Source organism: Homo sapiens, chromosome 5 (assembly GCF_000001405.40).
Source record: "Homo sapiens chromosome 5, GRCh38.p14 Primary Assembly".
Lineage (NCBI taxonomy): Eukaryota > Metazoa > Chordata > Mammalia > Primates > Hominidae > Homo > Homo sapiens.
In genome coordinates, this window is record NC_000005.10 from 62008296 (window position 1) to 62025243 (window position 16948).

The 16948-nt window shown below is 40.4% G+C and overlaps 1 long non-coding RNA gene across 1 annotated transcript in view, besides 1 other annotated feature; it reads right to left on the minus strand.

Annotated features, from left to right (window-relative positions):
- The window catches only part of LOC124900610 (uncharacterized), a 170779-nt gene that overhangs the window by 41467 nt on the left and 112364 nt on the right, over positions 1-16948 (minus strand). The gene's annotated exons all lie outside the window — the stretch shown is intronic.
- Positions 2679-3207: an enhancer, noted in NCBI's record as "OCT4-NANOG hESC enhancer chr5:61306801-61307329 (GRCh37/hg19 assembly coordinates)". NCBI's record gives its function as "activates a minimal SCP1, AML or CMV promoter by ChIP-STARR-seq in naive H9 embryonic stem cells {active_cell/tissue: H9 hESC(naive)}" and the evidence as "EXISTENCE:reporter gene assay evidence [ECO:0000049][PMID:30033119]".

The window sequence follows — 16948 nt, forward strand, 5'->3', positions numbered from 1 at the left end:
AAGCATGTGGGTGGGGTGCAGTGGCACACGCCTGTAATCCCAGCATTTTGGGAGGCTGAAGCAGATGGATCACTTGACATCAGGAGTTCAAGACCAGCATGGCCAACATGGTGAAACCCGTCTCTACTAAAAATACAAAAAAGAAATAGCTGGGGGTGGCGGTGGGCACCTGTAATCCCAACTACTCGGGAGGCTGAGGCAGGAGAATCGCTTGAACCTGGGAGGTGGAGGTTGCAGTGAGCCGAGATCACACCAATGGATGAAACAGCCCAGGGAGGGTGGCTGCAGGGTGAGAAAAGAAGAGAATCAGGACACAACTCTGAAAAGTGTCCACATTGGAAGGACGCTCAGTCCTCACACGCAGCCTCTTGGGCCCAAAGGAGTCTTGGACCAAGCTGGGAAGTTGGTCAATCTTGCCTCTGGCGTCTAAAGGCTCTTATTCCCAACCCACTCCATCCCCATTAACACATCCTGACAGTCTTCCTTCCCCGTGCCTAGCACAGTCATGCCTACACCTTTCTGTGCAGCTGAAAGCCCACCCAACAGCCATATTCTAGCCTATAACAGGTCCATGGTCTCTGTCATTTTGGTGTTCAGGAAGCCTAAGTAAACGACATAGCAATAGAATGTTAGAAATGGCGATTAATCCCAGTTCTGCCTTTTGGGAGACGATTAAACCAAGGTTGATAAAGTGAAGAGATTTGCCTTTGGTTCCTAGGCCGTCCTGACTAGTGTCCTTGTCCAGACCTCCTGGCTGCACATCCACCATGCTGCCCAGTGTCCTAGGAAAGTCTCTTTTGATCCACTGAGCCAGGCATAAAAAATGACACATTTGTGTGCTTACACTTTCAAAAAAGAGGCTAAAGGCATTGCAAAAGCCCAGAACCACATCCCCTTGTGGAAGTGCTTCTGCAATCCATTGATCATGGCCCACCTGATGTTCATTTTCTTGGCAGCGTAACATACAAATTAGTATCTCTTGCTACTTATTCTCCAAGGAGAAACTGAATCCAGCGTTTTGTGTTCTCATCACTCACCATGTAGTAAGAGACAGGGTAGATGGTTTAGCTACATTATGTCCTTACATGACAGATGGGCAGCATACATCTTTCCTTGTGTAAAAATGTCACTGCAGCTACAGATATAGTTGGTGGCTGAAAATGGAAAGTGATGCAGATTAGCTTTAACCTTAGAGGACAGACAGGCTATTGAGCGAAATACACGGACCCACATTCGAACAGCAAAGGTCTACCAGCCTGACAAGCAACTGATAAGCAACAGGGGGAAAGTCAGAGCTAAGAATCAGGAGTATTTCCAGGTGGCTGATGTTCAATTTACTCTAATTTTTATTTACCCTAAAGAAATGGGCTTGAAAAGGGAAGGGAGTGCAACTTTTATAACTTTGTATTTAAAACAGGTGGGAGAGACTACAAATGGTTAAAAAACAATTCCACAATAAACCAAAATATATTCCTTAATGATTTTCTAATATAATTTTAAAATATTATAAAGTCCCAAGAAATTTCCCTTCCCCACCAACATAAAAGTAGATACACAGCGCTTTCATATAGTAGGCGATATATTTTGAGTGATAATAATAATGAAGTATCAGTTTTATTCTACTGCTAACAATTAAGGAAATGTAAAAGAAACATTGCACAGACTGGCACTCTCTGGGAAATAACAGGATCTGAATGGAACAAAAAAGACAGGAGGAATGAAGCCAACTAAAAAATTTTTCTACTTTCCTTTGTAAGTACCTGCCTTTTGGTCATTTTCAGTGTTATTTTAAAACAATAATAATTCACATTCACGCTAATATGATTAAGCATTAACATCCTAAAGACAAGGTTTACTCACCTTATGCAGATAATTTCTAGAGAAACTCCACCCAGGGGTGACATTTAATGGTTTGGCAGTGTTATTTCACAATTTTCACTCACATTTTATTGCTTCTTAAAATAACTTGACATATAAAAAGAAGTACTAAATAAATTGCTTCTAAAAAGAACTTGAAATATAAGATATTATTAAATAAAATATAAAAAGCACTAATCCTCCAAGTTTTGAAAGAGACATGAACAGAGAGGGAGAAATAAATAGCATGCCTAAACAAGAAGAAAATATTTAATCGTACTAGAAAAGAAAACCTGAAAACTAAAGCAAGAGCCTAGCAATACACTTTGTGGTGTATTGGTAGAACACATTTATTTGGGCATGGTTTAAAGATGACCACAGTCACTGCTGATGCAGGTTGGGCAACAGGAGCACTCCAGCACACCACTGGAGAAAGACTCAGACACCAAGAGGCAGAGCCAGGTTTCAACCCAGGCAGTCTGACCTAAAAGCCCACACTCACAACTACAGTAGGATGGAAAGATCTGCAAGATACTTGGGAATTCAGGTTAACAGGACTGGGTGAAGAATTAAATAAGGGTGATGAAGAAAGATAGTAATGGAAGAAGAGAGGAGAGGCTGCAGTGATTCCCAGATTCACGATTTAGATCGCAGAGTGGATGGTAGTGTCATTAGGCAAGAAAGGAAGTATAAGCTCTAATTCCCAAAGGCTTTCAGGTATCTTAATAAATACAACCACAATTTTTTAAAAAGATAGCTTTTAAGATGCCAGTGACTTACCACTTGAAGTCTGCACTTGCATTGCTTAGTCACTCATGACTATTGACAATGGTCTCACTTTTTGCAATCTCCAATGTATTTTTGTCACATTTTTGCTCTGTAATGAGTGTTTCCCATTACCCAGCTATTGGGGAAGTCAGCTTCAGATCACTGTAACGATGAGGCGGCTCTCCCTCCCTCCTATGAAGCCAGACTGTCTCCGACATTTCTGGATGACCAAAGGAGGTGGATAACAGGAGTATACACAGGGAAGCAGGCAGGAGCAGGGATGTGAGAATGGAAGTAATCTTCTTTGTCCTGCTCCCATCAACTGGAACAATTGGCTTAACCTTTCTAAACAGGAGTTTCCTCTTCAGTAAAACAGGGGTCTTAATCCTTTCCCCACAGGGAGTTGTGAGAGAGAACAGCACAGTGGAGAACCATTCGGTATGCGCTCTGTTCCAGGGTCAGGGATGACATTTGCCAGAGAAGGTAAGCCAGTGGTTCCCAACCAGTGTGCTGTGTCATATCTGTAAGCTTTAAATCTTCCCTGGTGCTCTGCCAAGTCTTAATCTGGGTATAAAATTGCCTTTTGCTGCAACTCACTATCTGAGCAGACATTCAGGCAGCTAACTACCTGATGGGGCATTTTGCTGAGTGGGTTGTGATGCAAGATGTAGAACTGGGAACAATTTTGCTGCACATTAGACTAGGTATGAGGGAAGGCAAGTCAGCACCAAAAGGAAGGTGATGTCCTGGAAGATGTAAAAGCATGGCTCCGTGAATGGAGAGGTATATATAATCATTAGGGCGCTTCTACTCAAAGAGTAACATTCTGCTCAGGAGAAAACTTTCAAATTAAGGCCACAAAATTCTGGGTGCCAAAAAAAAAAAGAAACACCTCTGGGTATCTTACAGACTTTGGGAAATACTGTTACACATTAGCAACTACTGCATTTTAAATATTACCAACTTTTTCCATTTCATTTTGAGTCTTTCATCTCTTCAGTTCATTGCCCCAGATTCCAATATTTGTAAGTGTACCTTCAACAAAGAGATGGGGCATCACTGTAGGAAGTACTTGCCCCCAGTCACACAGCCCTTAAGTAGCAGAAATGCCATTTCAGCTATGTCTGTCTGACTCTTAACCAGTGTTATTGTTTTTGTTTGTGTGTTTGTTTGTTTTTCTCAGCAATCCCACATGTAAAAAGGGATAGACCGTTTCTCTTGCTGCACAGTGCCTGGAGTTGAGATCCCCTGGACTCTTGGTTCATTCTCTCTAGAGGGCAAATCTGTTTTTTTCTGGACTGTGCCTTTAGGATCTAGCCATGGTATGGTGGGAAGATGTGAAATCTGAACAAAACATGTGTTCTGCCATTTGCTAAGTTTCCTGCCTTAGTTTCCTGGGCCACATACTATGTTTTTCTGCTTTCTTTTCTCCCAATACACATAAAACTCTGTGTGCATTGTCTACAGGTAAATCCTTCCTTGTACCTTCAGAAGGTGTCTCTTCATTCTTTACAATATATTTCATATATTTATATTTTTGCTATATTTATTTATAATGTTTTATAGTACATTAAACAGATTTCATTATAACACAGAAGCTCCACAAATTATCAATGGTCCCATTAGTTACTTGAATGTCATGACCAAATATTAAAGGAATAGATAACAATTGGCTTCTGTCTGGATTCTTTGTACAATTATTTTCTTTTACCCAGCTGATTATATGTATGTATGTGTTTTTAAAAATCAAATACCTCCAAAAGGTTTATGAAAAACAGCAGTCCTCTGCCCTACCCTATCTTACTTTCCATCCATCCCCCAGAGAAAACTCCTTCAATTTCATCCTATGTCAGGAACCTCTATATTTCCAAAATGTATATTTACCACTTTTATAAAGGTTAGTTGTTATTTTTCATCTCCCGTTACAGTAGAGGAGGTTTAGCATACACGCTCTCTCTCCGGTCACCACCTTGCCTCTCTCCCACTTTCCCAAAATAATTATCTACCAATTTAGAATAAATCAAGCATTAGTGTTGCCGGAATTTTGCCTATGTATATATTTTTCACTACAGAGTCAAGTATGCTATGACCGTATTTACTTTCTTGATCATCTTTTTGTTCTTCCTGAAAATTCTAATTGCCCTATTTGTTCACTGCACTACCAGGCATTTACATTCTCATTATGGAATTCTAATCCTGGAGTGCTCTGTCATCCCTGTTTATTTTGAGTTAGTTGCTCTTTAGACGGGTGCTTTCCAGTCAAATTTTCTGAGATGATGGAAATTTCTGTATCTGTACTGTCTGGTGTGATAGCCACTAACCATGTGTAGCTATCAAGTACTTGAAATGTAACAACTACAAGTAGCCATTGGATTTTTCATTTTTTTAAAACTTTAATTGGAACATTTAATTCATTTACATTTGATTTAATTTTTTAAATGTTTGAGTTAAAGTATTTCCTCTTGGTATTTGTTTTCTATTTATCCCATTTATTCTTTGCTTCTCTATTTTTTCTTTGCTGACTTCTTCTAGGTGAATTGATTATGTTTTAGTATCCATTATATTTTTTCTATTGACTTCTTTTATAGAGCTTTTCCTAATTTTATAGTGGATGATCCAGAAATTACAGTATGTATCGTTAAGTCATTAAAGTCTACCTTCAAACAGTATTGTCCTGCTTCGTGAACAGTGTAGAACTTAACAACAGTATGGCCCTCCACAAAGCATATTACTTATTTTTGCTTTAAGCAATCAAAAGTCTTTTAAAGCAATTTACAATTTTATGCAAACACACACAGACACACAAAGTTCTTTTAAAAAAAAAAGCCTTTATGAATATCCTAAATAGTTCCTTTCAGTGATCTTCATTCATTCCTAGAGGTTTGGGGTTCCCTCTCTGAGACCACTGTATTTTCCTAGTCTTGTATGTGTGCGGTGGGGATTGATGATAAACACCTCACTGTGGTATTCTTTGCATGAACTGGGGAAGAGATTGTGAGGACTGACCCTCTATAAACTAAATTTGAACCTATCTCCCTATTTTTGGCCCTATACCTGATGATGTGCTGAAGCCAGTGCTCGCCAGCCCACGTGAACCAATCCTGCACATTTCTTCCCAGTCCCTCATTCAGTGATACCACGTTGGTAGCTCAAAACAGGACACGGTGGTTGTGCTACCACCACGGAAATCAGTAAATACCATTCATAAAGCCTCCCTCCCTCCTTTCCTTCTTTCCTTCCTTCCTTCCTTCCTTCCTTCCTTCCTTCCTTCCGTCTTTCCTTCCTTCCTTCCTTCCCTCCTCCAAGCTGGTTATAAAACATTTACCAGTGGCTAGGCACAGTGGCTCACACCTGTAATCCCAGTACACTTTGAAAGGCCAAGGAAGGTGATTCACCTGAGGTCAGGAGTTCGAGACCAGCCTGGTCAACATGGTGAAACCCCATCTCTACTCAAAATACAAAAATTAGCCAGGCATGGTGGTGTGTGCCTGTAATCTCAGCTACTCGGGAGGCTGGGGCAGGAGAATCACTTGAACCAGGTAGGCGAAGGTTGTAGTGAGCCAAGATCTCGCCATTGCACTCCAGCCTGGGTGACAGAGCAAGACTTTGTCTCAAAAAAAAATTAAATAGTTACCAGCACACCACTGCCTACACCTCACACTCCCCTCTCTACTGTGCCTAATATGACCACACTGTCAGGAGGGAGAATGAATATCTCTGGCCTGTGACTCCCTTGTGATCCAAAACATGCTTCAGACTCTGGCTTCCCTTGCCCTACCATATTTGGCCCCCTCCTCTGTGTGCTGGGGGCTCATGTTCCCTTTTTCTTTGCCCTTGTGTGTTTATATACTTTTTATTGCCTTGAGAGGGGCAAGTGGAGTACATGTAGCTAATCTATCATCTTTAACCAAAAGCCCTATCTCTGTCTTTAAAAGTGGGCATTTCAAAGAAATCAAGCAACTTTAAGAACCCAAGAAGGCTTAATAATAGAATCAGGCCTAACAAAAATTCTAATAATCTCCATGTTGGTCCAGATTACATTTTAATCTTATTCTTAAGCAAAAAATTGAAAACTATAGCTATTTCTTGTCCCTAATGAGAAACAAATTAAGAAGAAAACTGGTGTTTCCCTATGGAATGAGCCATTTAGTTGTCAACAATTTGATTCAAGGCAACATTTATTGAGTGATGACCATGTGCTATACAATATGCCAGATGCAAGAGGGAAAGGAAAGAACAAGACAGAGACAGACACCCCAGCACTCAGAGAACTTACAGTGCAGCAAGGGAGGTAATCGAGTCATCTAAAACACTTAAACACATGTGACACATGCTAGAAGAGGAGAAGTACTGTCTATCCTAAGAGCGTACAGCAATGAGATGTAACGTCATCTCTAGGTCAAAGAAGACTGCTCAAAGAAAATGCGGTTCCTACCGAGACTCGAGGGATGAGGAACTGCACATCATTTGTGGCTGCAAACAACAGGCACCACAGTTTGTTTAAACAAAGATAAAATTTATTAAAGAATATTAAGTAGCCTACACAATATGCAGGAAGGTCAGAGAACCAGGCTGAAGGCTATGAAGCCATAAATAATGCCCAAATTAAACCATCAGACCACTCCAGTAAGGACCTTCCGCTGCAGTGGCTGCTGCTGGCCCAGGCTCCCTACACGAATACTGAGCAGGGCTGTGGCACTTCTCACGCTAGGCTGTTGCCAATGCTGCTTCTAAAAGATGATGCCCCCCTGGCCAGAATGGCCTTTTATTTCTTCACGTTATCTTCTTGCAAATGTAAATGCCAGACAAGGTGCTTTTCTTGTCAGATTTGACTTACCGTGAGTATGCCCTAGTTTCACTGGAGGCCAAGAAATTGAGTTTGTCCTCCATCTGTTTTGAATTATAGAAATCATAAGATGGGAAACTCCAAAACACAGAATGTTGAAAGGTGCTTAGTGTCCCAAATGCATGAAAAATGTCAATCTCAAAATGTTACCATCCCTGGTTTTGTATACTGCTTGGATTTGATCAATGTGTGGCTGGTTGTTATTTCATTGTGTCAGTATATTTGAGGTCTCGCACAGAATCACAGATCTTAAAACTGCGAGGACCTTCCAGCTGTCTGAGCACCCAACTTCTAGAAGGCAAATTGTTATTTATTCCTATAGCAACAAGGGAGGCGAGTGCATCTGTGGGAGGTCGTGTGCCCTGTCTAAGCTCACAGCCAGTAAGTGGCAGAGCCAAGACCAGAACTCATCTCCTGGATGTTCACTGTCTTCTATCTGGTGGTTTGGCACCCTTGGGTGATAGGCAGTGGATGTACACAGGGTTATAAGGACAGCTGGAGCAAGCAAAGTGCAAAACCAGTAGCTTAGACTAGGGTGGTTTCAGTGGAGATGAATCAAGGCACCCAGATGTGAGAGAGATGTAGGAGATAAAAATGGCAGGACTTTGCAATGTGACAAGTGATGGACAGGAAAGGGTAAAGGTTGGCCCCAGTATTGGGCTAAGTGGGTGGTGATGCCTTTTACTTTGATAGGTAACAGAAGTCCAGAGTGGGAGTGGAGGGTGGGCAGAGCAGGTGAGGATGAAGAAAATGATGTGTTCAGTTTGAGACATGTCAAATTTGAGGGACCAAACGTACAGCCACATGAAGATGTGAAGGCAAGAGGCTTGGGCTGGTGATACTGACATTTTGGCATTGTCAACACTTTTAAGGTAATCAAAGCAGGGGAGTGGATAAAGTCACCCAGGGAGACAGCGTCACTGGAAATGAGAAGAGGAACCAGGACATAACCCCGAGGACTAGCAGAATATAAAGGATTGGTGAAGGAAAAAAATGAACATGAAGGAGACAAAGGGGAGTGATCACAGGAGGAGAAAAAGGAGTAGAAATCAAAGAGTAGGCAGAGCAACAAAGAGCATGGTTACATCCCCTTTTCTTGAGATTTTTAACAAGTGTTCAGGATGGGATATGACGTGTCTTCTTACAGTAAGTGGTTATGGTGTATGGGACTGGATATTCTCATGAGGCTGTGCTTTAGGTCTTCAGAGCTATATTTTTAAACCTAATGTTGATATGTGGCTCAATGACCATGTGGTGGTTTGTTTAGCTTCGTTTGGCTTTGCTTTGGGTTTCAATTTTTATTTCAGTTCAGTTAGTTTATTGGTTCCCCCCACCCCAACCCAGAAAATAAATTTTATCCCCATGGCACAAGTTGGTGCTGGCTGTTTCTGATGAATACCAACTAATAGACAAGAAAAATGACACTTAGAGAAGGTATGTGGCTCTGGGGCTCTGTAGGGGCAGAATTAAACTTTGAAAGGGTTTTATACTTTTTGAAAGATTGGAAAGGCCAACAAATCAGCAGGATTGGCTTGACTCCCAGTTTTATCCATGGCTTATGTGAACTGAGAAGAGTTGCTCAACTTTTGTGTAACTCAGTGCCTCACTTTGCAAAATGAAAATAATAGAACTATGTTCTCTTGGTTTAATGAGATAATGTCCACAAATATGAGTTCCTTACAGCCAAATGGAAAAAATATAACAACAAAGTTTTATGATCGCTATCCTTGGAACTGGGGTCTTTATTACAGATCTGTATAAAATACAAAAGTAATAATCCCATGTTATTAGGTTATGTGAGCCAAAGACTGGATATTCAGGGTCAGAGTGAGCTATTTCCCATCTGTCAGACACATTAGGAAGTTCAATTAGAATATGGTCTATACACTAGGAGTATAAGAACTCTGACCTTTTTAAGCAGCTACACATAGAGCACAGAATGTGATATAGCTTATATTCTGACTGTATAATTACATGAAATTTAACATCTCTCACTGTTTTCATGATTGAAGAGGGTGCTAGAATTTTCCAAGCCATAATTTCAAGCTAACACAAACATTAGAGTTGCATGTTTTACTGCACTTTGGGGGACCGTTTCTAGGCTGAGTATTTAGTAAGAAGCATTTGGAAGTGTCTGGTCTTGCAGATCCCAGAGGAGTTTACAGTGTTCTTTCCTGACTTTCTCACCCTGGCACACTATTGCATTTCATATTGATTAATATTAGTAATATCTTATTAATACAATTTTCTTTTACATTATGCCTTTATCCAAAGGGTCATACACACTAGATCAGCAAGTCTCATAATGGCTGGAAGAAAGAGAAACTATATTCTTGATTTATTTGAATAAAGAAAATGAGACAGTGTGAAGACAAGTTCCTGGTATATGTCTTTGAATAAGCACCATCTTGCTGGTTTCTTTACAAAGGAGGAGGCATCTCATAGTGAGAAAAGGATTCAGTAATAGGAGTCTAGAGACTTGACCCCTCATTCTGGCTTGGCCACTGGCTGGCCAAGTTCCAACGGGTCCAAGCCAGACAGATTCATGTAAGTGCTGTGGACAGGTGAAAAAAGGTGATGCCCCTTCAAACCTAGACCCTTTAAATTATTGTCCAAAAGAATGAGCACTAGGTATGGGAAAAGGTAGGAGAAAAATGCACATACTCTAGTGATCATATCAAGATTGTACAGTTTCCTGGTTCCATCCTCCCAGAAGGTGGTTTTGTTACCCTCTGCTTGACCTCACATGTGCCTCTCGAGGTTATCACACCCCAAACTCATCTTCACATTCCTTCACGCAACCATGCAGAGTTCTGGCCAGCATGATTCCCTACACTGGGATACGAGGGCAGTACAGTCTCCCATGGTCTGCAAGGAAAGTTGGAAACCACCAAACTAAACTATCTCTACGTGAATCCAGCTCTCACATTTTAGAATTCTGCTTGAGTATGTTAAGGAACTCAGGGTGGACAGAAGAAAGACAGGAAATAAGTGGAAAGCTACCTAGTGGGTAATACTTCCCCAATCTTTAGTCTGTCTTGGTTGGTGATTGCCTGGAGTCATCCTCTGGCAGGGAGGGGTGAGAAGTGGGTGATGCCCCTCCTCAAAGCCAAGGGAAGAAGAAAAACAGAAAGAAAATTACTCAGACCATCTGAGAGCCTGGGCTTGACCCGCTCTACATTAGGACTGTTCATCTCCACCTGAAACCTGTGGGGCTGCAGAACACTCTAAGCTGCTAGGGTAGAAAATGAAAAGGCCAGAGGATGAATGGCAGCACTCTCATGACCCATGATGGCAAGGATACATGTGTTTCCCCCGCACAGTGTAGACACTGTGGAAGGTGCCTGGGCTTGGGCCATTTTATTGGTGCTGTGGCCTGAATGTGTATGTCCCTAAAATTCCTATGTGGAAACTTAATCCCCAATGCAATGGTAGTAAAAGGTAGGCCTTTAGGAAGTGATTAGGTCTGGAGGGCTCTTCTCTCATGAATGGGATTAGTGCGTGATATGGTTTGAATATTTGTCCCCTCCAAATCTCATGCTGAAATGTAATCCTCAGTGTTGGAGGTGGGGCCTGGCCAGAGGTGTTTGGGTCACAGGGGCAGATCCTTCATGAATGGCTTAGTGCCATCTTCTTGGTGATGAGTGAGTTCACATGAGGTCTGGTTGTTTAAAACTGTGTGGCACCTCCCCCGCTCCCCCACCCCCGCTTTCTCCTGCTCTCCCCATGTGATACACTGGCTCCCATTTTCCTTCCACCATGATTTTAAGTTTCCTGAGAAGCAGGAAGCAGATTGTAAGTTTCCTGAGAACCAGAAGCAGATGCTGATGCCTAGCTTCCTGTACGGCCTGCAGCATCATGAGCCAATTAAACCTCTTTTCTTTATAAATTACCCAGGCTCGCATACTTCTTTATAGCAGTAAAAGAACAGCCTAACACAGTGCCCTTATAAAAGAGCTTCAGAGAGCTTGTTTGTCCCTTTTTGCCCTTCCGCAATGTGAAGACACATAGAAGACATTATCTGTGTAAAATAGACCCTCACCAGACACCAAATCTACTGGCACCTTGATCTTGGACTTCCAGCCTCCAGACTTGTAAGAAATAAATTTCTGGTGTTTATAAATTACCCACTCTAAGGTGTTTTGTTATAGCAGCAGGAATGAACTAAGACAATTGGTATCCCTCAAAAGGACCCTATAAGCAAGACACTACAGACTGAGCCACCGTGGTTTCCAATACTGCCATCAATAATTACTCCCATCTCTGTGAGTACTTCCAGTCAAGAGATGAAGTCTCTTTCCCCTCTCCTTGAATCTGAACTGGCCTTGTGACTTGCTCTGACCAATAATAGAATGTGTTAGAGATGATGCTGTTTCAGACCTAGGCTTTGTCCTTACGAAACCTGGTAGCTCCCGTTTTTGCTGTCTTGGAAGCAAGTTACCACACTACACAAAAGCTCAGGCTGTACTGCTAAAGAATGAGGGGCCACATGGAGAGAACCTGGAGGATGAGAGGCCATTTTGCATGTTTGCCCTCAGCCAGGCTCCCAGCAGAATAGAGCTGCCTGAGTGACATCACCCTGCACCAGCAGAAACACTACCCAAGCCCAATTAACCCACAGAATTGGGAGAAATAATAAATCGTTGGTTTTTCTTGATTTATTTGAATAAGAAAATGAGACAGTGTGAAGACAAGTTCCTGGTGTATGTCCTTTGAAGAAGCATCATCTTGCTGGTTTCTTTACAAAGGAGAAGGCATTTCATATTGAGAAAAGGATGCAGGAATAGGAGTCTAGAGACTTGACCCCTCACTCTGGCTTGGCCACTGGCTGGCCAAGTTCCCGAGGGTACCAACCCAGGCAGATGCAGGATGGTTTTATGCCATTAAGTTTTGGTTGCTTTGTTTCACAGCAATAGATAAGTGAAACAATCAATATCAAGAGTCCAACAGCAACAGGAAAAGAGCCCAAGTCATATCTCCCCTTCTATGGGACTAGACAAAGGGAAGACCCTGTAGGACATACTGTGTAACTGATATTCATGAGAGTGTCAGTTTCCTAAGAGGTACATGTTCTGCCACCAGAACTATAGTGATATCTGAGCATTATGTTAAAATAACAGCATAATGGTAGTGACAACAAATACTTCTACAGCATTTATTATACACCAGGCACTGCTCTGAACTCTTTACATGTATTTTCTCTCTTAATTCACAAGCAACCCTGTAGGAAAAGCTCTATTATCATTTCCATTTTACAGATTAGAAAGCTGAGGCATGGGGAGATTAAATGATTTTTAATCTTTAGAGACTAAAAGACACAATCAGTATGTGGTAGGATAGACTTTCCAGTTCCAAAAACTATACTCACAACTACAAAATAATGTTGTCTCTCATAAGGACCTAAGTGTTTAATAAACATGACTAATTTACTTAAATAACACAGGATAAAATTTTCAAATTTCAATGCAAAATCCAGCTGCACATTAAAAGAAGAAAAACATCATAAACAAATAGGGTTTATTCTAGGCTAAATAATTGAATTATATACATTGTATTCATTTTCTATGGCTGCTGTCAGAAACTAGCACAAATATGGTGGCTTAAAACAACACATATTTTTTTTCTTTTATAGTTTGGGAGACCTGAAGCCTGGAATATGTTTCACTGGGCCAAAATCAATGTGTTAGCAGGGCTGCACCCTCTGGAGGCTCTTGCTTTTTCAGCCTCTAAAACTGCATTCCTTGGTTCACAGCCCCTTCCTTCATCTTCAAAGCCAGGATCATAGTATCTTGCTTAAGTTGTCATATTGCCTCCTTCTCCTTCTCTACACTATGGTATGAGCCACTGTGGTATAGTGGGTCCTCTTCCTTCTTCTTATTCCTCCTTCTCCTCCTCCTCTTCCTTCTCCTTCTTTCCTTTTTTCTTCTTCATCTTTCTCTGCCTCTCTTTTATAAGGACACATAATTACATCTAGCGCCCATCTAGGGCCTGGTAAATTATCCAAAATAATCCACCTATCTTTATATTCTGAACTTAATCACATATGCAAAGTTTCACATGAAGTAACATTCACAGGTTCCAAGAATTAGGATGTGGATATCTTTAGGAGACATTATTCAGCTTGCCACAAATATTAACATTATTAATATAATTTACCACATTAATAAGTCTAAGGAGAAAAAAATTCCTTTATCTACATAGACATTGAAAAAAGCATGGAATAAATTTCAACATCCATTCTTGATTTTTAAAAGTGATTAACACAATGGGTTAGACATATGTTATCCTTATTATGTTTTATCACTGTTAGCCCAAAGGCCAGTGTCATCTTTAATGGGAAAGCCAAGGACATTTCCATTCCCAAATGTCAGGAATAGCTTGTTTGACCACCATTATACCTAATACACCTTAATATTGTTTGGGAGGGACTGGTGAACATAGACGAAAGAAAAGGCTTAAATACTAAAAATTGGAAAAGAAGAGGAAAAAGTATTATTATAAGTATATGATTCTCCACCAGGAAAACTCAAGAGAAGCAACTGGAAAATTATTTGAGAAAATGAAAAATGTTGAGAGGTACAAAACTAATGTAGAGAAATAAGTAGCCTTTATATGTACAAACAATATCAATTAGAAGAAATAAAGGAAAAAAGGCCTTATTAGAATAGCAACAAACAAGAAATGACTATGATCTGTATAAAAACACTTCATGTGCTCCTAAGAGGCACGAAAGAAAAATTGAAAAATAAAAAGACAAGCCATGTTCCTGGAAAGGAAGATTTCACATCATAATGATGTCAAATTTCCCGAAGGTATCCAATAAATATAATGCAGTCTCAGTAAAATTACTGACAGGGTGGTTTTTGCAAGCTAGACAAGGTGGTGTTAAAGTTCAAATGGAAAAGCAAACAAATAAGAATACTCAAAGACATGTTTTAAGTTATTGGTTTCATTAAACAGATTATAAAGCTACAATAATAAGAGGACTGATGTAGTTTAGATCTGTGTCCCCACCCAAATCTCATGTTGAATTGTAATCCCCAGTGTTGGTGGAGCCTGGTAGGAGGTGACTGGATCATAGGGGTGGATTCCTCATTAATGGTTTAGCACCAACCCCTTGATGCTGTCTTCATGGTAGTGAGTGAGCTCTTGTGAGATCTCATTGTTTAAAATTGTGTGGCACTTCTCCTTGAAGAGGTCCTTCAAATCCCTTATAAGTTGTATTCCTAGGTATTTTATTCTCTTAGTAGCAATTGTGAATGGGAGTTCACTCATGATTTGGCTCTCTGTTTGTCTATTGTTGGTGTATAGGAATGCTTGTGATTTTTACACATTGATTTTGTATCCTGAGACTTTGCCGAAGTTGCTTATCAGCTTAAGGAGATTTTGGGTTGAGACAATGGGGTTTTCTAAATATGCAATCATGTCATCTACAAACACAGACAATTTGACTTCCTCTCTTGAATACCCTTTATTTGAATACCCTTTATTTCTTTCCCTTGCCTGATTGCCCTGGCCAGAACTTTCAATACTATGTTGAATAGGAGGGTGAGAGAGGGCATCCTTGTCTTGTGCCGGTTTTCAAAGGGAATGCTTCCAGTTTTTGCCCATTGAGTATAATATTGGCTGTGGGTTTGTCATAAATAGCTCGTATTATTTTGAGATCCATTCCATTGATACCTAGTTTATTGAGAGTTTTGAGCATGAAGGGGTGTTGAATTTTATCAAAGACCTTTTCTGCATCTATCGAAATAATCATGTGTTTTTTTTCCATTGGTTCTGATTATGTGATGAATTACGTTTATTGATTTGCATATGTTGAACCAGCCTTGCATCCCAGGGATGAAGCCAACTTGATCGTGGTAGATAAGCTCTTTGATGTGCTGCTGGATTCAGTTTGCCAGTATTTTATTGAGGATTTTCTCATCGATGTTCATCAGGGATATTGGCCTGAAATTTTCTTTTTTTGTTGAGTCTTTGCCAGGTTTTGGTATCAGGATGACGCTGGTCTTATAAAATGAGTTAGAGAGGATTCCCTCTTTTTCTACTGCTTGGAATAGTTTCAGAAGGAATGGTACCAGCTCCTCTTTGTACCTCTGGTAGAATTTGGCTGTGAATCCATCTGGTCCTGGACTTTTTTTGGTTGGTAAGCTATTAATTACTGCCTCAATTTCAGAACTTGTTATTGGTCTGTTCAGGGATTCGACTTGTTCCTCGTTTAGACTTGGCAGTGTGTATGTATCCAGGAATGTATCCATTTCTTCTAGATTTTCTAGTCTATTTACATAGAGCTGTGTATAGTATTCTCTGATGGTAGTTTGTATTTCTGTGGGATCAGTGGTGATATCCCCTTTATCATTTTTTATTGCATCTATTTGATTCTTCTCTCTTTTCTTCTTTATTAGTCTGGCTAGCAGTCTATCTTGTTAATGTTTTCAAAAAAACCAGCTCCTGGACTCATTGATTTTTTTGAAGGGTTTTTCGTGTCTCTAGCTCCTTAAGTTCTGCTCTGATCTTAGTTATTTCTTGTCTTCTGCTAGCTTCTGAATTTGTTTGCTCTTGCTTCTCTGGTTCTTTTCATTGTGATATTAGGGTGTTGATTTTAGATCTTTCCTGCTTTCTCCTGTGGGCATTTAGTGCTATAAATTTTCCTGTATACACTGCTGTAAATATGTCCCAGAGATTCTGGTACGTTGTGTCTTTGTTCTCATTGGTTTCAAAGAACTTATTTATTTCTGTCTTAATTTTGTTATTGACCCAGTAGTCATTCAGGAGCAGGTTGTTCAGTTTCCGTGTAATTGTGAGGTTTTCAGTGAGTTTCCTAATCCTGAGTTCTAATTTGATTGCATTGTGGTCTGACAGACTGTTTGTTATGATTTCTGTTCTTTTGCATTTGCTGAGGAGTGTTTTACTTCCACCTATGTGGTCAATTTTAGAATAACTGTGATGTAGTGCTGAGAAGAATGTATATTCTGTGGATTTGGGGTAGAGAGTTCTGTAGATGTCTATTAGGTTCGCTTGGTCCAGAGCTGAGTTCAAGTCCTGAATATCCTTGCTAATTTTCTGTTTCGTTGATCTAATATTGACAGTGGGGTGTTAAAGTCTCCCACTATTGTTGTGTGGGAGTCCAAGTCTCTTTGTAGGTCTCTAAGAACTTGCTTTATGAATCTGGATGCTCCTGTATTGGCTGCATATATATTTAGGATAGTTAGCTCTTCTTGTTGCATTGATCCCTTTACCATTATGTAATGCCCTCTTTGTCTTTTTTTAGCTTTGTTGGTTTAAAGTCTGTTTTATCAGAGACTAGCATTGGAACCCCTGCTTTTTTTTTTTGCTTTCCAGTTGCTTGGTAAATATTCCTCCATCCCTTTATTTTGAGCCTATGTGTGTCTTTGCATGTTAGATGGGTCTCCTGAATACAGCACACCAGGGGACTTGACTCTATCCAATTTGCCAGTCTGTGTCTTTCAGTTGGGG